Source organism: Homo sapiens, chromosome 3 (genome assembly GCF_000001405.40).
Source record: "Homo sapiens chromosome 3, GRCh38.p14 Primary Assembly".
NCBI lineage: Eukaryota > Metazoa > Chordata > Mammalia > Primates > Hominidae > Homo > Homo sapiens.
In genome coordinates, this window is record NC_000003.12 from 138,652,293 (window position 1) to 138,668,807 (window position 16,515).

The 16,515-nt window shown below is 39.9% G+C and overlaps 1 protein-coding gene across 13 annotated transcripts in view; it reads right to left on the minus strand.

Moving 5' to 3' along the window:
* Positions 1 to 405: 405 nt before the first annotated feature.
* Positions 406 to 16,515, minus strand: part of PIK3CB (phosphatidylinositol-4,5-bisphosphate 3-kinase catalytic subunit beta) — a 182,231-nt gene continuing 166,121 nt past the window's right edge. For all 13 annotated transcript variants that reach the window (NM_001437290.1, NM_001437286.1, NM_001437289.1 and 10 more), the window contains 5 exons: positions 12,744 to 12,911; positions 11,614 to 11,737; positions 5,398 to 5,543; positions 3,850 to 3,982; positions 406 to 3,234 (listed from right to left, as the gene is read on the minus strand). In NM_001437290.1, the coding sequence (NP_001424219.1) occupies positions 3,097 to 3,234; positions 3,850 to 3,982; positions 5,398 to 5,543; positions 11,614 to 11,737; positions 12,744 to 12,911 (709 nt within the window). In that variant the 3' untranslated portion in view covers positions 406 to 3,096. The remainder of the gene's footprint in view (positions 3,235 to 3,849; positions 3,983 to 5,397; positions 5,544 to 11,613; positions 11,738 to 12,743; positions 12,912 to 16,515) is intronic.

Here is a 16,515-nt window from a genome sequence, read left to right on the forward strand (position 1 = left end):
GCTCCAGGGCAGGGCTCAAGGATGTGCATTTCTTTTTTTTTTCTTTTTTTGAGATGGAGTCTCACTCTGTTACCCAGGCTGGAGTGCAGTGGTGTGATCTCGGCTACTGCAACCTCCGCCTCCTGGGTTCAAGTGATTCTCCTACCTCAGCCTTTCGAGTAGCTGGGATTACAGGAGCCAGCCACCATGCCCAGCTAATTTTTGTGTTTTTAGTAGATACAGGTTTCACCATGTTGGCCAGGCTAATCTTGAACTCCTGACCTCAGGTGATTCCCCGGCCTCGCCCTCCCAAAATGCTGGGATTACAGGTGTGAGCTGCCAGGCCCCACCAAGAATCTGCATTTCTATGGGTACAAAAAAAATAGTAAGAATGAATAAGATCTAGTATTTGATAGCACAACAGAGTAACTATAGTCGATAATTTAATTATAGATCTTAAAATAACTAAAAGAGTATAACTGGATTGTTTCTAATACAAAGGATAAATGCTTGAGGTAATGGATACCCCAATTACCCTGATGCGATAATTACATGTTATATGCCTGTATCAAAATATTCCATGTACCCCATATATATATCTACTATGTACTCACAAAAATTAAAAATTAAGAATTTGCATTTTTAACCAGTTCTCTCTGGTGATGCTGATGCTCCTCATCAGGGGACCACACTTGGAGAATGATTGCTATAGATTAACAACAATGAAACTTACAATAAAGTCACTTACCCAGGAATCTAACAAACGATGCATAATATGTAAACACAGAATACTATAAATCATTGCGGATATAAATGAAAGATAATCTAAATAAATGGGTACTCCACTTACATATTTTGGAAAACTCAATATTCTGGAGATGTCAATTTGTCTCAACCTTGTCTATAGCTTAATGCAATTTGATTCAAAATTTCCATAGATTTCTATTTGTGGAACCCAATAAATCTGAAATGTATACTGAGGCATTGTGAGTAAAGAGCACAGATAATTAAAATAGGCTTCTTACTTTCTGGGTTTGAATACTGGCTCCATCAACTACTCTGTGACTATGGTCACGTTACTTAACCCTTCAAAGAAAACAGGAAAGATACAATTTGGTGCCCATATGGGAAAAACAGTTGACTTGAACTTCACTGATTTGGCATGTATTTATCAAGGCCCTCCTTTTGGCTGAGGAGACCCCTCTGGAAAGAATGGTATCCATTTCTTCCTGGCAGTGTTCACCATTCTCCAAACCACTGACCTGCGGCCTGGTTCATGAAATGGTGGGTGGCTACTAGACAAAGATCTCTGAACAAACCTGTCCTTCCATAGTTCTATTCCTGGAAGTCTCAGTGAGTCTACACCAGCCCTGGAAATGAGGAATTCAGGGGCCAACTCCCATCCTCAGCTGAGTTATTTCCAAGGAACTGGACTGCTCCAGCATCTGCCCCATGAACAAGAGCTCCAAAGCAGCAGAGTCTGGCCTTGGCTCAGTGCCAAGTAACTACCCAGACTTCAGGACACCTCCCATATGCATGGCTCCTTACCTCAGGCTCCCACCAAAGTCCAGGGGGCCTCCTATACCATGCCTGATGAGGCTGGGAAACAAGGGGAGAAGTCAGGGAAGAGGCCATAATAAGCCTTAGCCTATTCCTGAGGTTGGTTTGTCTACTGACTTGGCCATTTCTTGGAGTTCCAGTGCCAAGTTCCAAAGGCCCAGTCTACCCATAAAGAAGAGGCTCACCCATTCCAAGAGCAGCCGAAACCAGCTCACTCATTTATTTGACTGAGAACATTAAGAAGGACAACAAAATTAAACATTCTTTAATAAAATTCCTATAGAAAGCTCAGTCATAGGGCAAATACTCAGTTCTCTTTCCCATATCACCGAGGATTGAGAGCTCCCAATATTCTTTGGAGAATAAGCAGTAGTTTTGCTGGATGTTGCCAGGACTCAGAGAGATCACCCATTTACACATTCAAACCAGTAGTTCCTATTGCACATATTAACATTACTTGCCCCTAGCACCCTAAATATATGGTACCTCAACAAATAACTTAAAGATTTCCGTGTGGCGTGAAACCATTTCAATTTGAACTAATATCCTTGAAAAAAATCACATTATTACAAGTTTTAATAAATACAGTAAGAAGAGCTGGCATTTTTCTAAAATACTGAATTTCAGATCTGGAGTTTATTCCATAAATAGGTTTCTTTTCATTTGCTTGCTTTCTTGGATACATTTGCTCAAGTATTATTCTCTATGAAGTGAACTCTTTCATAGATACCATATAAAAACTGTATTAATATGTGCCTCATTATAGAAGCAGCTGGAAGAACTGGATCACACAGTTACCTAACTGAAAAGTAACTTAGGAAAAAGCTCTGCTTTTTGTAAAACTTTAAATCACAGGCTGAAGAATACCAAAGAAACATTTATATAGAACTCCCACTAGAAATTTTATAAATATATATGTAGCATATTTATATATATTATATTTGCCTCACCAGTAGATTTTCAGCAAGTCTGGCTGGAATGATGCTATCATGGAAATAAATATTAACAAAAGAATTAATGAGTATCCACAGGTTTACAAGATTTCTTCTGGAAAATAATCATAAATTCAAATTATATTATAATTTGCAGTTTACACAATTTTAAAAGGGAAGAAAGATGCCTTTCTTTTTAGCTTCATTTGGACAGTAAGAACAGCCACCAACCCCCAGGTGTGGAAAAGTTGTTGGCTGAGTGACAATACTTGGTCACAACATTGAAAAGAAGTATTTACACCATTCTGGGAAGTACCAAATATTAGAAAAAACAAACAAAAACGGAAACAATCCCTAGTAGCATTCCTTGGCGTGCAAAGTCAGCAGGAAATGATTATCCATTGACAGTTTTCATGATAAGTCTTGGAAGCATTCAAAAAGCAGAGGGAATCATCGGGGATTGTTCAGATTAGGTTCTGTGGGATGCCTTGTTCTTAATTTAACTCTGAGTTCCAGGATTTCATTCCCTTTATAACATCTCTAACAGGGTCATGTTCAATTTAGTGCAAGTGCAAAATGAAAATGAAATGAAACCAACAAATACATTAGGAGCGAAGGCTGATCGTTAAGATCTGTAGTCTTTCCGAACTGTGTGGGCCATCCAGTTCACTTTAGTAGTCCAGCTTTCCCTGAGCGCCTCATCAAATTTTTGCTTAAACTGTTTGAGTGCTTCTTCTTCACTCTTCCCTAATGCAAGAGAGTCCTAAAATGGAAGGGGGAAAATATGATTTTATATAACTTTAGTAGAGATGTGCAAATATCAAAGTCTGCAGGAGGCTGGATTGGTTGTGCCTCCCCAGCCACCATCAGGCAGCATGCTTCATGTTCTTATTTAAATATCATCTGCAGGAGGCAGAACCCCAAGATAGGGAGATAATATGACTTCTTCCAAAAGGTTTTTGAAGATGAAAATAATTTATAATTACTGCAGGATGCACAGCTGCTTGCCACTACCACCCAAATCCAGTAAGATGACTCAAGACCTACTAAGATCCTGGCAAGAAAAAGGCAGACTGTGGAAAATCAAGGTGGCAACCCGCTCCTGATCTGCGGTCTTTCAGTAATGTGAGTAAGAAGGCTACAGCCCAATACCAGTCTTCTTTACGCCCCTTCTACTGATGGGAAAATCTTCTGGGTTACAAGCTACTCTACAAAATTCCTCCTTTATGTACTTCCCAGATTCTTTCCCTCCTGGCTAAGAACCATCTTAGAGGAAATGACTTTGTTCTACTTCCTTCAGCCACTTGAATAAAACAGGCAGCTAAAACTGAGCTCAATGCCCACAAAGTCCAAGAGAGAAGGAAAAGTGGTTTTATACCTTAAGATACTGTATATCTTTGACTGATGTGAGTTCAGGAAGCCCTGCAGTCAACATCAGCGCAAAGAGAGTGATGAAGAGATTCCCATGCCGTCGTAAAATCAGATATGCATCCTCACAACACTGGCGGAACCTTTGGGTGATGCAGCAAACCACATGAGCACAGTGTTAGAGGGGAGAGAGCACATTTCATACAGGAAATTAAGAAAACACAGCTAGACTTTCTATTAGAATAAGAAAATTCCTACTGAACTAAAGGTTCATTTCTGATTTTTACTTCTGCGAAAATTGTCCCAGGACTAAAATCTACATAAAACAATCAATCTCTCTAACATCACAGATATATTTTTCAAAAACAAAACTAAATAGAAATTCTATGACGAAAGGCTATTACATTTTTAATAATAATCTAGACTTTTTAATTCTATGAGACACAAGAACTGATTATTAAATCAGTTATAATTATAATCCACAAGGATTTCTGAACATACTTCTGGGTTCTATATTTGTGGTCTGATTCCAGAAACTAATTTTTTAAAAGTCCCCTCAATCAGTGTCAGTGCTTTTGCTCCTTCCTGTCATCCTGCCTTCCCTCTCTCTCCTCTTCAAGATGGTCCCTCAAGAAGATCATCCAATGTTTTTTTTTTGAGATGGAACCTTGCTCTGTCTCCCAGGCTGGAGTGCAGTGGCGTGATCTTGGCTCACTGCAACTTCTGCCTCCCAGGTTCAAGCAATTCTGCCTCAGCCTCCTGAGTAGCTGAGATTACAGGCGTGTGCCACCACACCTGGCTACTTTTTGTATTTTTAGTAGAGACGGGGTTTCACCATGTTGGTCAGGCTGGTCTCAAACTCCGACCTCCAGTGATCTGTGTGCCTTGGCCTCCCAAAGTGCTGAGATTACAGGCATGACCTACCGCGCCAGGCTGAGGACCATCCAATCGTATCCCCTTATTTTGCCAAAGAGAAAACTAGACCCACTGAGGTATATTCTGCAGAAACCCAAACAGAACTATAAAGGATAGTGACAATGATTTGTTAAGTATGTGTTGGTTACATGATATGTCTCTAACCATCATAGTAGCCCTTAATTTCATATTTTTGTCCCCATTTTAAGATGATACAAAGGCAAAAAGACAAGTATTATGCTTGGGAACATGTAGGTAGCCAGTAATAGATCAGAGATTAAAAAATTTGCCCTGAATTCTAGTTCCCTTACTGTACTCCATACACAATGACAGCAGATGTCTTTTCAGCATCTTCCTATCAACTGTCTTAATAGTTTCAGAGAATGTTCTGAAACAGGTAAAAGGTAGTATATTATTGGAATAAAATATAATAATTATTTTAAATTTCTAGCATTCTGTTTCTCCTATCTGGGAATTTCTGAACCAGCACAATAATCTGACAGGCAAATTCCCCCAAAAGCTTCCTATAATCAGACTGAATATCTCCCAGATCCAAATATATCTCAGCTAAGAAATGCTGGTCCACCTGGTCAGATAAGAAAATGTTAGAAGTGTTCAGCCTTGGCACAAGGGCAGTACTCACCGGCCAAACTTTTCTGTATTTCCTGTTTTTCCTTGTTGAATGACATGGATGAAATCATAGGTAAGAATAAAAGGCACTCGCTCCCTTTTAATGCCAAACTTAGATTTGAAATTTCCAAGAATATGTCCAAAGTCAATGTGGAAGAGCTGGAAAACAAATGGGATTTAATTTCCTTCATTTTTCTGGTGGGTTCCAAATATAAAGGCAAAACCTCCATAGTCCTAGACCCCCAGGAACTATACCCATCCACATCTGAGCCCTTCTCCCTCTGTTTATAGCCCACTGAGCCAGGTGAGAAGAGACCATATCTAACACTCTTAAGACTTTTACAATCAATAATAAATAACCCTGATATTAAACTGTAGATATCTAGTGGAAAAGGAGACGCTTTAGAAAGAAAAATACATCCAAAGAATTAAAATGTCTGATTTTTAAAAAGTCAAATAGTTCTATAAAACATAACAAGAAAAGAGTACAGGTTGGTTGTGGTGGCTCATGTCTGCAATCCCAGCACTTTGGGAAGCTGAGGCAGGAGGATCACTTGAAACCAGGAGTTCAAGGCCAGCCTAGGCAACATAGCGAGACCCCATCTCTACAAATGAAGGAAAAAATTAGTCAGGCATAGTGGCACACACCTGTGGTCCCAGCTACTCAGGGGGGTGAGGTGGGGGAATTGCTTGAGCCTAGGAGGTCGAGGCTGCAATGGGCCATGATGATGCCACTACGCTCTTGCCTGGGTGACAGAGTAAGACCCTGTCTCAACAACAACAACAACAACAAAAAAGTACATCCTTGCCCTACTAGCTCCCCACATTGAGTGCTACTCTTTAGAGGTAACTTCTTACTCTTCTCACTAGGTGTTTTTCCTGGTGTCTGCCTCCATTTTTCTAAATAATATGTTTATATTTATTTTTGCTCCCTAATTGTATATTACTATTCTTATTATGGAAGATAAAGATTTAGTACTTTTATGCTAACATAATGCTACACACTGTGGCACATTATGTCATAATTTCTGGTTACATCAATATTCAGTGTTTTTATTTTTCACATGTTCACCTTTTTTCCTTTAGAAAACTGTACGCATGTATTCATTCATTCATTTAGCTTAGTGTTCTATGACCTTAGCATTAATTCTTCCCAAACTCTCCTTAAAAATCTACAAATCAAACAACAACAAATCTACAAATCATTTTCAAAACTGTTTTCCAGACAGTCAGGTAATCTACTGGTTTCTAGCTGGGCTGGTTGTTCTCCGGTGTTGCTGCAGAGCCATCATCCTGGGCCTTCCCTTTCCTCTTCTCCCATTTGGAGCCCGTTTTGTGTCCCACATCACATTCTCTTTTGGTTGAGACCAGGGTTTCTCAATACTGGCACACACTGACATAGGCCATATAATTCTTTGATATGGGGTTCTGTCCTGTATGGGTGTTTAGCAGCATCCCTGGCCTCTATCCACTGGACTACCCCACCCCCCAGTTATGACAACTAAAACTGTTTTCATATATTAACAAATGTCCCCTGAGTGAAAAATCACCCCACTTGATAATTATTGGTTTAGGCACTTGTTTTGGTAGATGTCCTTATTCTGGCAGCCTCTGAGAAAAGATGCAGAGGAGTGACAAGTTTTGTGACCCTGCAAGTTGGAAAAATGTCTTCATTCTACCCTTTATACTTGACTGGGCGTGGTGGCGCATGCCTGTGGTCCCCCAGCTGCCTGGGGAGGCTGAGGCAGGAGAATCACTTGAACCCAGGAGGCGGAGGCTGCAGTGAGCCGGGATCACGCCACTGCACTCCAGCCTGGGCGACAGAGCAAGTCTCCATCTCAGAAAAAAAAAAAAAAGTTTGGTTATCGAATTTTAGGTTAGAAATCATTTTCCCTCAAAATTATGAAGGCTAACGTGCACTGTCTTATAATTGCCAATGTAGCTATTGAGGAGCCAAGTCATTTTGACTTCTAAACTCTGGTATGTGGCCTGCTGTGTCTCTGCGAAAGTTTTAAGACTTTCTCTTTACGTCTGATGCACTGAAATTTCATAGTGCAGGTACTTAGTAAGGGTGTTTTTCTTCCATTCTCAGAAAATTTTTGTGCTATTTTGACTGGATATTCATGAACATTGGCTCTGGGAAATGTCTTAGTATATTATTTGCTTAGTAAGTGCCCTTCTTTCCTCTTCTTTTTTTTTTTTTTTTTTTTTTTTTTTGAGACGGAGTCTTGCTCTGTCGCCCAGGCTAGAGTGCAGTGGCGTGATTTCAGCTTACTGCAAGCTCCACCTCCCAGGTTCACGCCATTCTCCTTCTTTCTGGAATATCCATTAGGCTGAGAGTATACCTCCCTGGACTGAGTCTCTATTGTTTCTGGATCTTCTCTCTATTTATCATATTTTTTGGAGATATTAAGGCATGGTGGATTAAAAAAAAAGAATATGAGCCAAACTGCCAGGGTTAAAATCCTGATATGTCTACTCTCTGTTGCCTTAATATCCTCACTTGTAAAATGGGGCTATTGCCGCCACTCTATAAGGTTGTCATCAGGCCTGAAGGCATTAGATTATATATAAAGCACTTACAACTATGCCTGCCACAAAATATTTACACTATTTCTATTTTAACTTTTTGTTTGTTCCTATTTCTAATTTTCAAGACCTCTATGTGCTGATTGTAAAAAACAGAATCCTATTATTACTTTAAAGATACAATATATTTTTTTGCTTTGATTTTTAAAATCACCCTCTGTTTACTGCAGTTACCCTGTTTTCCCAGAGTTCTTTTCTTTTCTTCCCTATTTTGCTTATTTGGTTTCTATCTTTCATGGTAGAGGTTTCCCTTAAATGTCTGCTAATCCAGTAGAGAGTAGAATGGTGGCTGCAGGTGCTGGGGAGATACTGGTCAAATAATACAAAATTTCACTTAGGAGGAATAAGTTCAACAGATCTGTCTTACAACATGGCAACTATAGTTAACAACAATATATTGTATTCCTGAAAACTGCTGAAAGACTAGGTTTTAAATGTTATCATCACAAAAAAAGATAAGTATGTGAGGTAACACACAGGTCAGCTCAATTTATCAAGTCCACAATGAAGACATACTTCAAAACAATATGTCGTACATGATAAACATATTCAATTTTTGTCATTTTTTAAAAGTATATTAATCCTTAGCTGACCATTCATATTTAACAATGAATCACTAAAAAGCTGAATGAAAATTCTATGTACATGGTAGGCTTGCTTGTTGATTGGTGGACTTCCTTGTATAGAAACTAGGGAGAAATCTCAACTGTCAGATCTGCAGGACTTTTCAATGGAACCAATCAGATTTCTAGAATAGAATCACCTAGTCTTTTGATGAGGGTCAACTATACATCTGGCTGCCACTGTTCTTAGAATAAAGCAAGTGGAAGTGGCTGCAGATTGTACCATTTACTACGCCGACTTTCACTCCATCTCCATTTTTAATATGGGACCCTTTCTTGTAGTCTCTGTAGAAATAAGTGTGCTTGAGTCAGAACCAGTTTCTTCAGAGAATAAATCTATCTCCTTCTTGGCATAGGGAAGGGGACTTGAGTGCCTAACTGTTCCATATATAAGCTGCCAACTAGTTCTGTTTCAGCCTCTTTCTGTATCCCTCCTTGAACAGTATACATGGTGCCTCTGATTCCAGAGCTTTTATGGGACTTGCGTACCCCTTTACAAGTACTGACTTTCTATTTTCTCAGTTCTGCTAAGTCACTGCCACTTCTCTATCTCACTTTCTATCACCCCGAAGTCTGGTAATAGGTTTCACCCACTGTGGCCTATTTTCCTATCATCTTTGACTTCTTGAGTTTATATATTTCTTAATTCCTTATTATTGTTTTAGAGGTGTAAAAGAAGAAAATGGAGATAAATCTAAGTGTTTAATGTGATTGGACGGAAGTCCAAGGGACTCCTTTTAAGTATGGACACGAGATTCCTCAATCGTACATGGTGCATTCATGTATTATAGTGCATTACAAATTCATTCCACATCAACTCTCAAAGCCCAAGCCAGAACTAATCCAGATTTCCAAGGAGATACAAAACTGTGGGTCCCTCATAGAACCAAAGTTCACACAGTGACCCAGAGAGATTTTCATTCTAGTATGCCTCTAATGTGGGAATTCCTAGGGGGGCTAAACTGAAAAATTATCTAAGATATCTCATCTGTTTTTGCTTAACATAAAAAGTGTTTACAAATATGTCACTCTGAAAAATGAAATTTTCATTTGAAAACTTAAGTACTTTATAAACAACATGGTCTAGATTCCCTAGGTACCCCAGAATGCTATTACTCACACGACTGTTCTCCCTTCTCCCATATATAATTAGGTATGATGTTCTAAAAGAGAAAATAACTCAAGTGGGGTTCATCCCAACTTTTTTTTTTTAGCATTGGTAATCTTTTTTTTTTTTTTTATTTTAAGTTTTAGGGTACATGTGCACAATGTGCCGGTTAGTTACATATGTATACATGTGCCATGCTGGTGTGCTGTACCCATTAACTCGTCCTTTAGCATTAGGTATATCTCCTAATGCTATCCCTCCCCGCTCCCCCCACCCCGCAACAGTCCCCAGAGTGTGATGTTCCCCTTCCTGTGTCCATGTGTTCTCATTGTTCAATTCCCATCTATGAGTGAGAACATGCGGTGTTTGGTTTTTTGTCCTTGTGATAGTTTACTGAGAATGATGATTTCCAATTTCATCCATGTCCCTACAAAGGACATGAACTCATCCTTTTTTATGGCTGCATAGTATTCCATGGTATATATGTGCCACATTTTCTTAATCCAGTCTATCATTGTTGGACATTTGGGTTGGTTCCAAGTCTTTGCTATTGTGAATAGTGCCGCAATAAACATACGTGTGCATGTGTCTTTATAGCAGCATGATTTATAGTCCTTTGGGTATATACCCAGTAATGGGATGGCTGGGTCAAATGGTATTTCTAGTTCTAGATCCCTGAGGAATCGCCACACTGACTTCCACAATGGTTGAACTAGTTTACAGTCCCACCAACAATGTAAAAGTGTTCCTATTTCTCCACATCCTCTCCAGCACCTGTTGTTTCCTGACTTTTTAATGATTGCCATTCTAACTGGTGTGAGATGGTATCCCACTGTGGTTTTGATTTGCATTTCTCTGATGGCCAGTGATGATGAGCATTTTTTCATGTGTCTGTTGGCTGCATAAATGTCTTCTTTTGGATTAAAGACTTAAACGTTAGACCTAAAACCATAAAAACCCTAGAAGAAAACTTAGGCATTACCATTCAGGACATAGGCATGGGCAAGGACTTCATGTCTAAAACACTAAAAGCAATGGCAACAAAAGCCAAAATTGACAAATGGGATCTAATTAAACTAAAGAGCTTCTGCACAGCAAAAGAAACTACCATCAGAGTGAACAGGCAACCTACAAAATGGGAGAAAATTTTCGCAACCTACTCATCTGACAAATGGCTAATGTCCAGAATCTACAATGAACTCAAACAAATTTACAAGAAAAAAACAAACAACCCCATCAAAAAGTGGGCAAAGGATATGAATAGCATTGGTAATCTTTAAATTTAATACATCCAGTACATTATCCGCTCCTTCTGTTAGGTACAAATGTATCCCAAATACTATTTCTTATATTGAAGAACAGGCCACTTTAACTACAAAAATTTTTTCAATAATTTTTTTTTGAGATGGAGTTTCACTCTTGTTGCCCAGGCTGGAGCACAGTGAGGCGATCTCGGCTCACTGCAACCTCCGCCTCCCAGGTTCAAGTGATTCTCCTGCCTCAGTCTCCCAAGTAGCTGGGATTACAGGCGCCTGCCACCATGCCTGGCTAATTTTTATATTTTTAGTAGAGACGGGGTTTCGCCATGTTGACCAGGCTGGTCTCAAACTCCTGACCTCAGGTAATCCGGCCGGCTCGGGATCCCAAAGTGCTGGGATTACAGGCGTGAGCCACCACACACAGCCTTTAGTAATTTTTTAAACAAATAAATGCTTACCATCAAGCAAGCAAACAAATGAATACATGTAGTAGACTATATATGAAACGAGAGGTAGTGAGAAATTGAAGTAAAGACAAAGATATGACACTAAGAATCACAAAAGAATCTGGCTGAGTTGCACAAGAGATTATGCTATACATAAGAAATAGCATTACTAAGGCCCTTGGCAGATCCTGAGGAGCAGCTCACCTGGCCAGTTTTTTTGACCATGATGTTGTCACTATGTCTGTCACCAATCCCAAGGACATAAGAAGCTACACAGTAGCCAGCACAGGACAGTGTAAATTCCTCAATGGCTCGGTCCAGGTCATCCCTGAACAAGAGAAAAGAACAGAAGCAAAAAAGGTTTTCAGCCTCCAAGCGTGTAGAGTGAGACCCAAACCATACCTCTGTTTCCTTTTTAATTGTGAGGAGAACACAGAGCTGCCAAAACCGTATGAGAGAACATGTGGATCAGCCAAGGGGAGTGTGGGTGGTCTTCACAGGGGCTGGGCTGAGAGAGCTGCCTTCAAAGACATTAAATAACTGGGCCTTAGATATTCAAACGTCCTGGGAGCTGTGTTTCGGTGGGGCTGTGAGTAGACTAATGTTCACAGTACTTAGAAGAGACCATGGCTTTGCTAGATCATGCTAGGGGTTGGGCACATTTTAGTTAGTTTTGACCAAAGACTGACTACAATTTCATGTTTAAGAGTTAAGCACTGCAGTTTCAAACATTTAAGTCACTGATTTCAATTAGAAGTAAGTAATAGAGATTCCCTGGAGACAAGGCCTTAAGATCAAAATTTGGAAACTGATTTGCATATTACAAGTTCTCGATAAAATGTGTCTGACTCTGAAGTCTTTAGCCAAAAATACTTGCAGACCATTTCCCCCTCACACTGTGAAGTTCTTTTATTTCCTATATATTAGTGCTTTTCTAACACCATAGCCATAATTCCAAACATTGCATTTTTTAGTTTGGAGAAATCACAATCTACCAACTCATTAAAAACTCACTTAAGTTCATATATTCACATAATTAGAGAAGCTGATGCACTTGAACAAAGGCTTCAGTATGTTATCTTTAAATACTTAAATTCATAGATTGTAACTTTACTGCGGGGCTCCAAAATTTGATTTAGATAAAGTAGAATTCAACATTCACCATTTACAAGACTTTACGAAGGGCTATGTGTCATTTTGTTCTAACAAGAAATGAAGCAATAGATAAAAAACACTAATATTTCCTCTAACACACTGCTGACTTCTATTGGGAGCATACAGTATTTGTTTGGCTGTTTGTACAGAAAAATGATAATTAAACAGAATAAACTAACCCAGAGTTGTATTCTTTAAGCCAGTTCAGAAGGGCATCTTTGTTGAAGGCTGCTGCAGCAGCCACATTGCTACTGTTCAGCTGAATGTCAGCAATTGTTTCAGAGGTGCTCACAACTTCAATGAGGCCAGAGCGATCTCCTGTTGCTAAACAGCCATAAGGCAACATCCTGGAAGGAAAAAAATGGGCATAGAGTCATATTTTCCTTAAAATGAAACATTAATTTGGTAAGATTTTCCCTTTACTTTTTAAAAAAAGTTTTATTATTATTGATATACTTGCCATTACTATATTATTGTCATATGGAAAAACACAAGTTCCACCAAAGGAGTAAATCTCTTGGCCAACAGAAGGAGTAATTTACAAGGATTCCAATGTGCCAATTACATATAAAATTTTTTGTCTAATTATTCTGGTGAAACATTCTATTTGCTTGTGTAGGTGGACAGAAGTACATTGGATCAAAGTCTTTCACTCTTACTCTACATTTTGGGGAAATAAACTACTCTTTATGGAATACCCAGTAAGTGCCATGTGCCAGACTAGCCACTATACATATTATCTTGGTTAAGGGAAACTCCGTCCTTCTGGTGGCACCATCTCAGTTCATTACAGCCTCTACTTGCCAGCCTCCAGCCATCCTCTCACCTCAGCCTCCTGAGTAGCTGGGACTACAGGCATGTGCCACCACGCCGGGCTAATTTTTAAAAACTTTTTTTGACACAGGGTTTGGCCATGTTACCCAGGCTGCTCTTGAACTCCTGGGTTCAAGTGATCCTCTCACCCCAGCCTCCCAAAGTGCTGGGATTACAGGTGTGAGCCACCACATCAGAGCAGCAAAAGCAATACGACATCAATGGGTTTTCATGCTGACTTCTCATTTCTTGAGTTGAGATTTTACCTCCCCAATTAGATTGCAAACTCCTTGGAGACAGCAACTTTAACTGAAAAGAGGTGACTGGGTATTTACAAAGGACTAGTCATCTGTCAGAAAGGTAAGAATTGATATTCTAACTAGACCAATACATTCTGAAAAATAGATTATCAATTAAATGTTTTGCTCAATTAATAGGTGGCAGTTTGCTTTGATTTGCACTTATTTGATGCCTAGTAAAGATAATTATTCTCAGATCTCTTTTGGCCATTTTTTTTAAGAGTCAGTGTGTCTCTTTATTGCCCAGGCTGAGTGCAGTGACACGATCATAGCTCACCATAGCGTCAAATCCCTGGGCTCAAGGCAATCCTCCCTCCCTTGGCTCTAGAATAGCTGGGACTACAGGTGAGTGCCACTACGCCTGGCTAGTTTTTTTATTTTTTTGTTTTTTGTAGAGATGAGGTCTTGCTTTGTTGCTAAGCTTGTAACTCCTGGCTTCAAGTGATCCTACTGCCTTGGCCTCCTAAAGTGTTGGGATTACAGGCATGAACCATTGCACCTGGATCTTTTAAGCATTCTAAGATTTCTTTTGTGACTTAGCTATTTACATTCTTTGCCTATTTATTAGGGCTTTAGACATTTTCTTCAGTAACTTATATGAGCTCTTTGTATATTAATATTACCTTTTTCTCATTTTGGTTGCAAATATTTTCTCTAATTTCTATTATAATAAGAACACCAAAATGGAATGAGATATCTTGAAAGGTTCAAATAAAGATCAGGTAGCTACAGAAAATACAATGGATGGAATTCATGCACTCAGTAAATACTCGGGTACAGCTAACCAAGCATTGTGTTAGATCCTGGTGATACAGAAATAAGCAACAAACAAACAAGAAAACCAGAGCAGCAGTCCCTACACTCACTGAGCAAATGTACAATGTGCATGTGTGATCTCTGTATAAGGAAGAAGTGCCAGGAGAACATGGCAGGAGTCAAAAAAGACTTCCTGGCCGGGTGCGGTGGCTCACACCTGTAATCCCAGCACTTTGGGAGACCAACGTGGGTGGATCACAAGGTCAGGAGATCACGACCAGGTCAGCAGATCTGGCCAACATGGTGAAACCCTGTCTCTACTAAAAATACAAAAATTAGCTGGACGTGGTGGTGTGCTCCTATAGTCCCAGCTACTTGGGGGGCTGAGGCAGGAGAATCGCTTGAACCCAGGAGGCGGAGGTTGCAGTAAGCCGAGATTGCGCCACTGCACTCCAGCCTGGCGACAGAGCGAGACTCTGTCTCAAAAAAAAAAAAAAAAAAAAAAAGACTTCCATGTGGAGGAATGACAGCAGGGCTGGAGGAGAGCACAAGGGGGAGCACAACAGAAAGATGAGGAAGACACAGTAAGTGGTGAAAAGACCATGCAGGTTCCTGTTGGCCATGTAAGGACTTCTGTCATACTCCTAAAAGCACTGAGAAAGCTTCCGAAGGACTTTATGAGCGACAAAGAGAGGCTGTGTGTGTGTTGTGGGGAGGAGGGAGTATATGAGTGTGTTAGCATGTATCACAATCAGATAGTTTCTAAAATTAAACAGTTTCTAAAAGTCCTTCAAAAAAATTGAATTATTTTATGCTTTTTTATTTATTTTTATTTTATTTATTTATTTATTTTTTGAGACAGAGTCTCGCTCTGTCGCCCAGGCTGGAGTGCAGTGGCGCAATCTCGGCTCACTGCAAGCTCCACCTCCCGGGTTCACGTCATTATCCTGCCTCAGCCTCCCGAGTAGCTGGGACTACAGGCGCCTGCCACCATGTCTGGCTAATTTTTTTTTTTGTATTTTTAGTAGAGACGGGGTATGCTTTTTTAAAAGCACTTTTCATCCGGGCACGGTGGCTCATGCCTGTAATCCCAGCACTTTGGGTGGCCGAGGCAGGTGGATCACCTGAGATCAGGGGTTCGAGACCAGCCTGGCCAACAAGCTGAAACCCTGTGTCTACTAAAAATACAAAAAATTAGCCAGGCATGGTGGCAGGCACCTGTAATCCCAGCTACTCAGGAGGCTGAGGCAGGAGAATTGCTTGAACCCAGGAGGCGGAGGTTACAGCGAGCTGAGATTGCACCATTGCACTCCAGCCTGGGCAATAAGAGCAAAACTCCATCTCAGAAAAAAATAATAATAAAAGCACTTTTCTAGTTCTAGCAAAATGAGGTTGGGGGCAGAACTGTCAAAATACAAAATAAGAGAATGAAGCATTCTCCTAATGCAGCATTAATGTTTTTAATGAGACCCCTTATTCTTATCATGACATAACACATGTAAAGCAAACACTGCCAGGTTAAAGTGCACTTTCTCACTTTCCTGCATCTCCTCTCACTCCAGTTGCAGCCAAGGTAGGCAGAAGTCCAATAACTTCCTTTTCAAAAGCAGGCAACGATGAAAGCTTTCAGTGCCTTGAGGGTAGAATGTTCACAATGAGAAGGAAAAAACATCCTTCTCAGAGAGTTTGACAGAAGTCAAGCTGGGGACAAACTCTTGGAGCCCTAATCATCTCACCTAGGTACCCTCTGCACTCAACTTCTACACTTCTTACAAAGGCCAAGACTACAATTTCAGTAATGTTTACCCTCCTTTCTCAGACTCTCTGACTGAAGTAGCAATCTGTTACCTTTCACACTAAATCAAACATTTAAAAATGAAATAAATTCTACAACACGGGGATGGCAGCTCCATATCCTTACTCTAAACAGGTATATAGCAAGTTATCTGGCTTTAAAAATTTGTTTTACAACTTGTATATATTCATGGGGTAGAAGTACAATTTTGCTACATTGATATATTGCACTGTGGTGAAGTCAGGGCCTTCAGTGCATCCATCACTGTAGCAACACACATTGTACTCA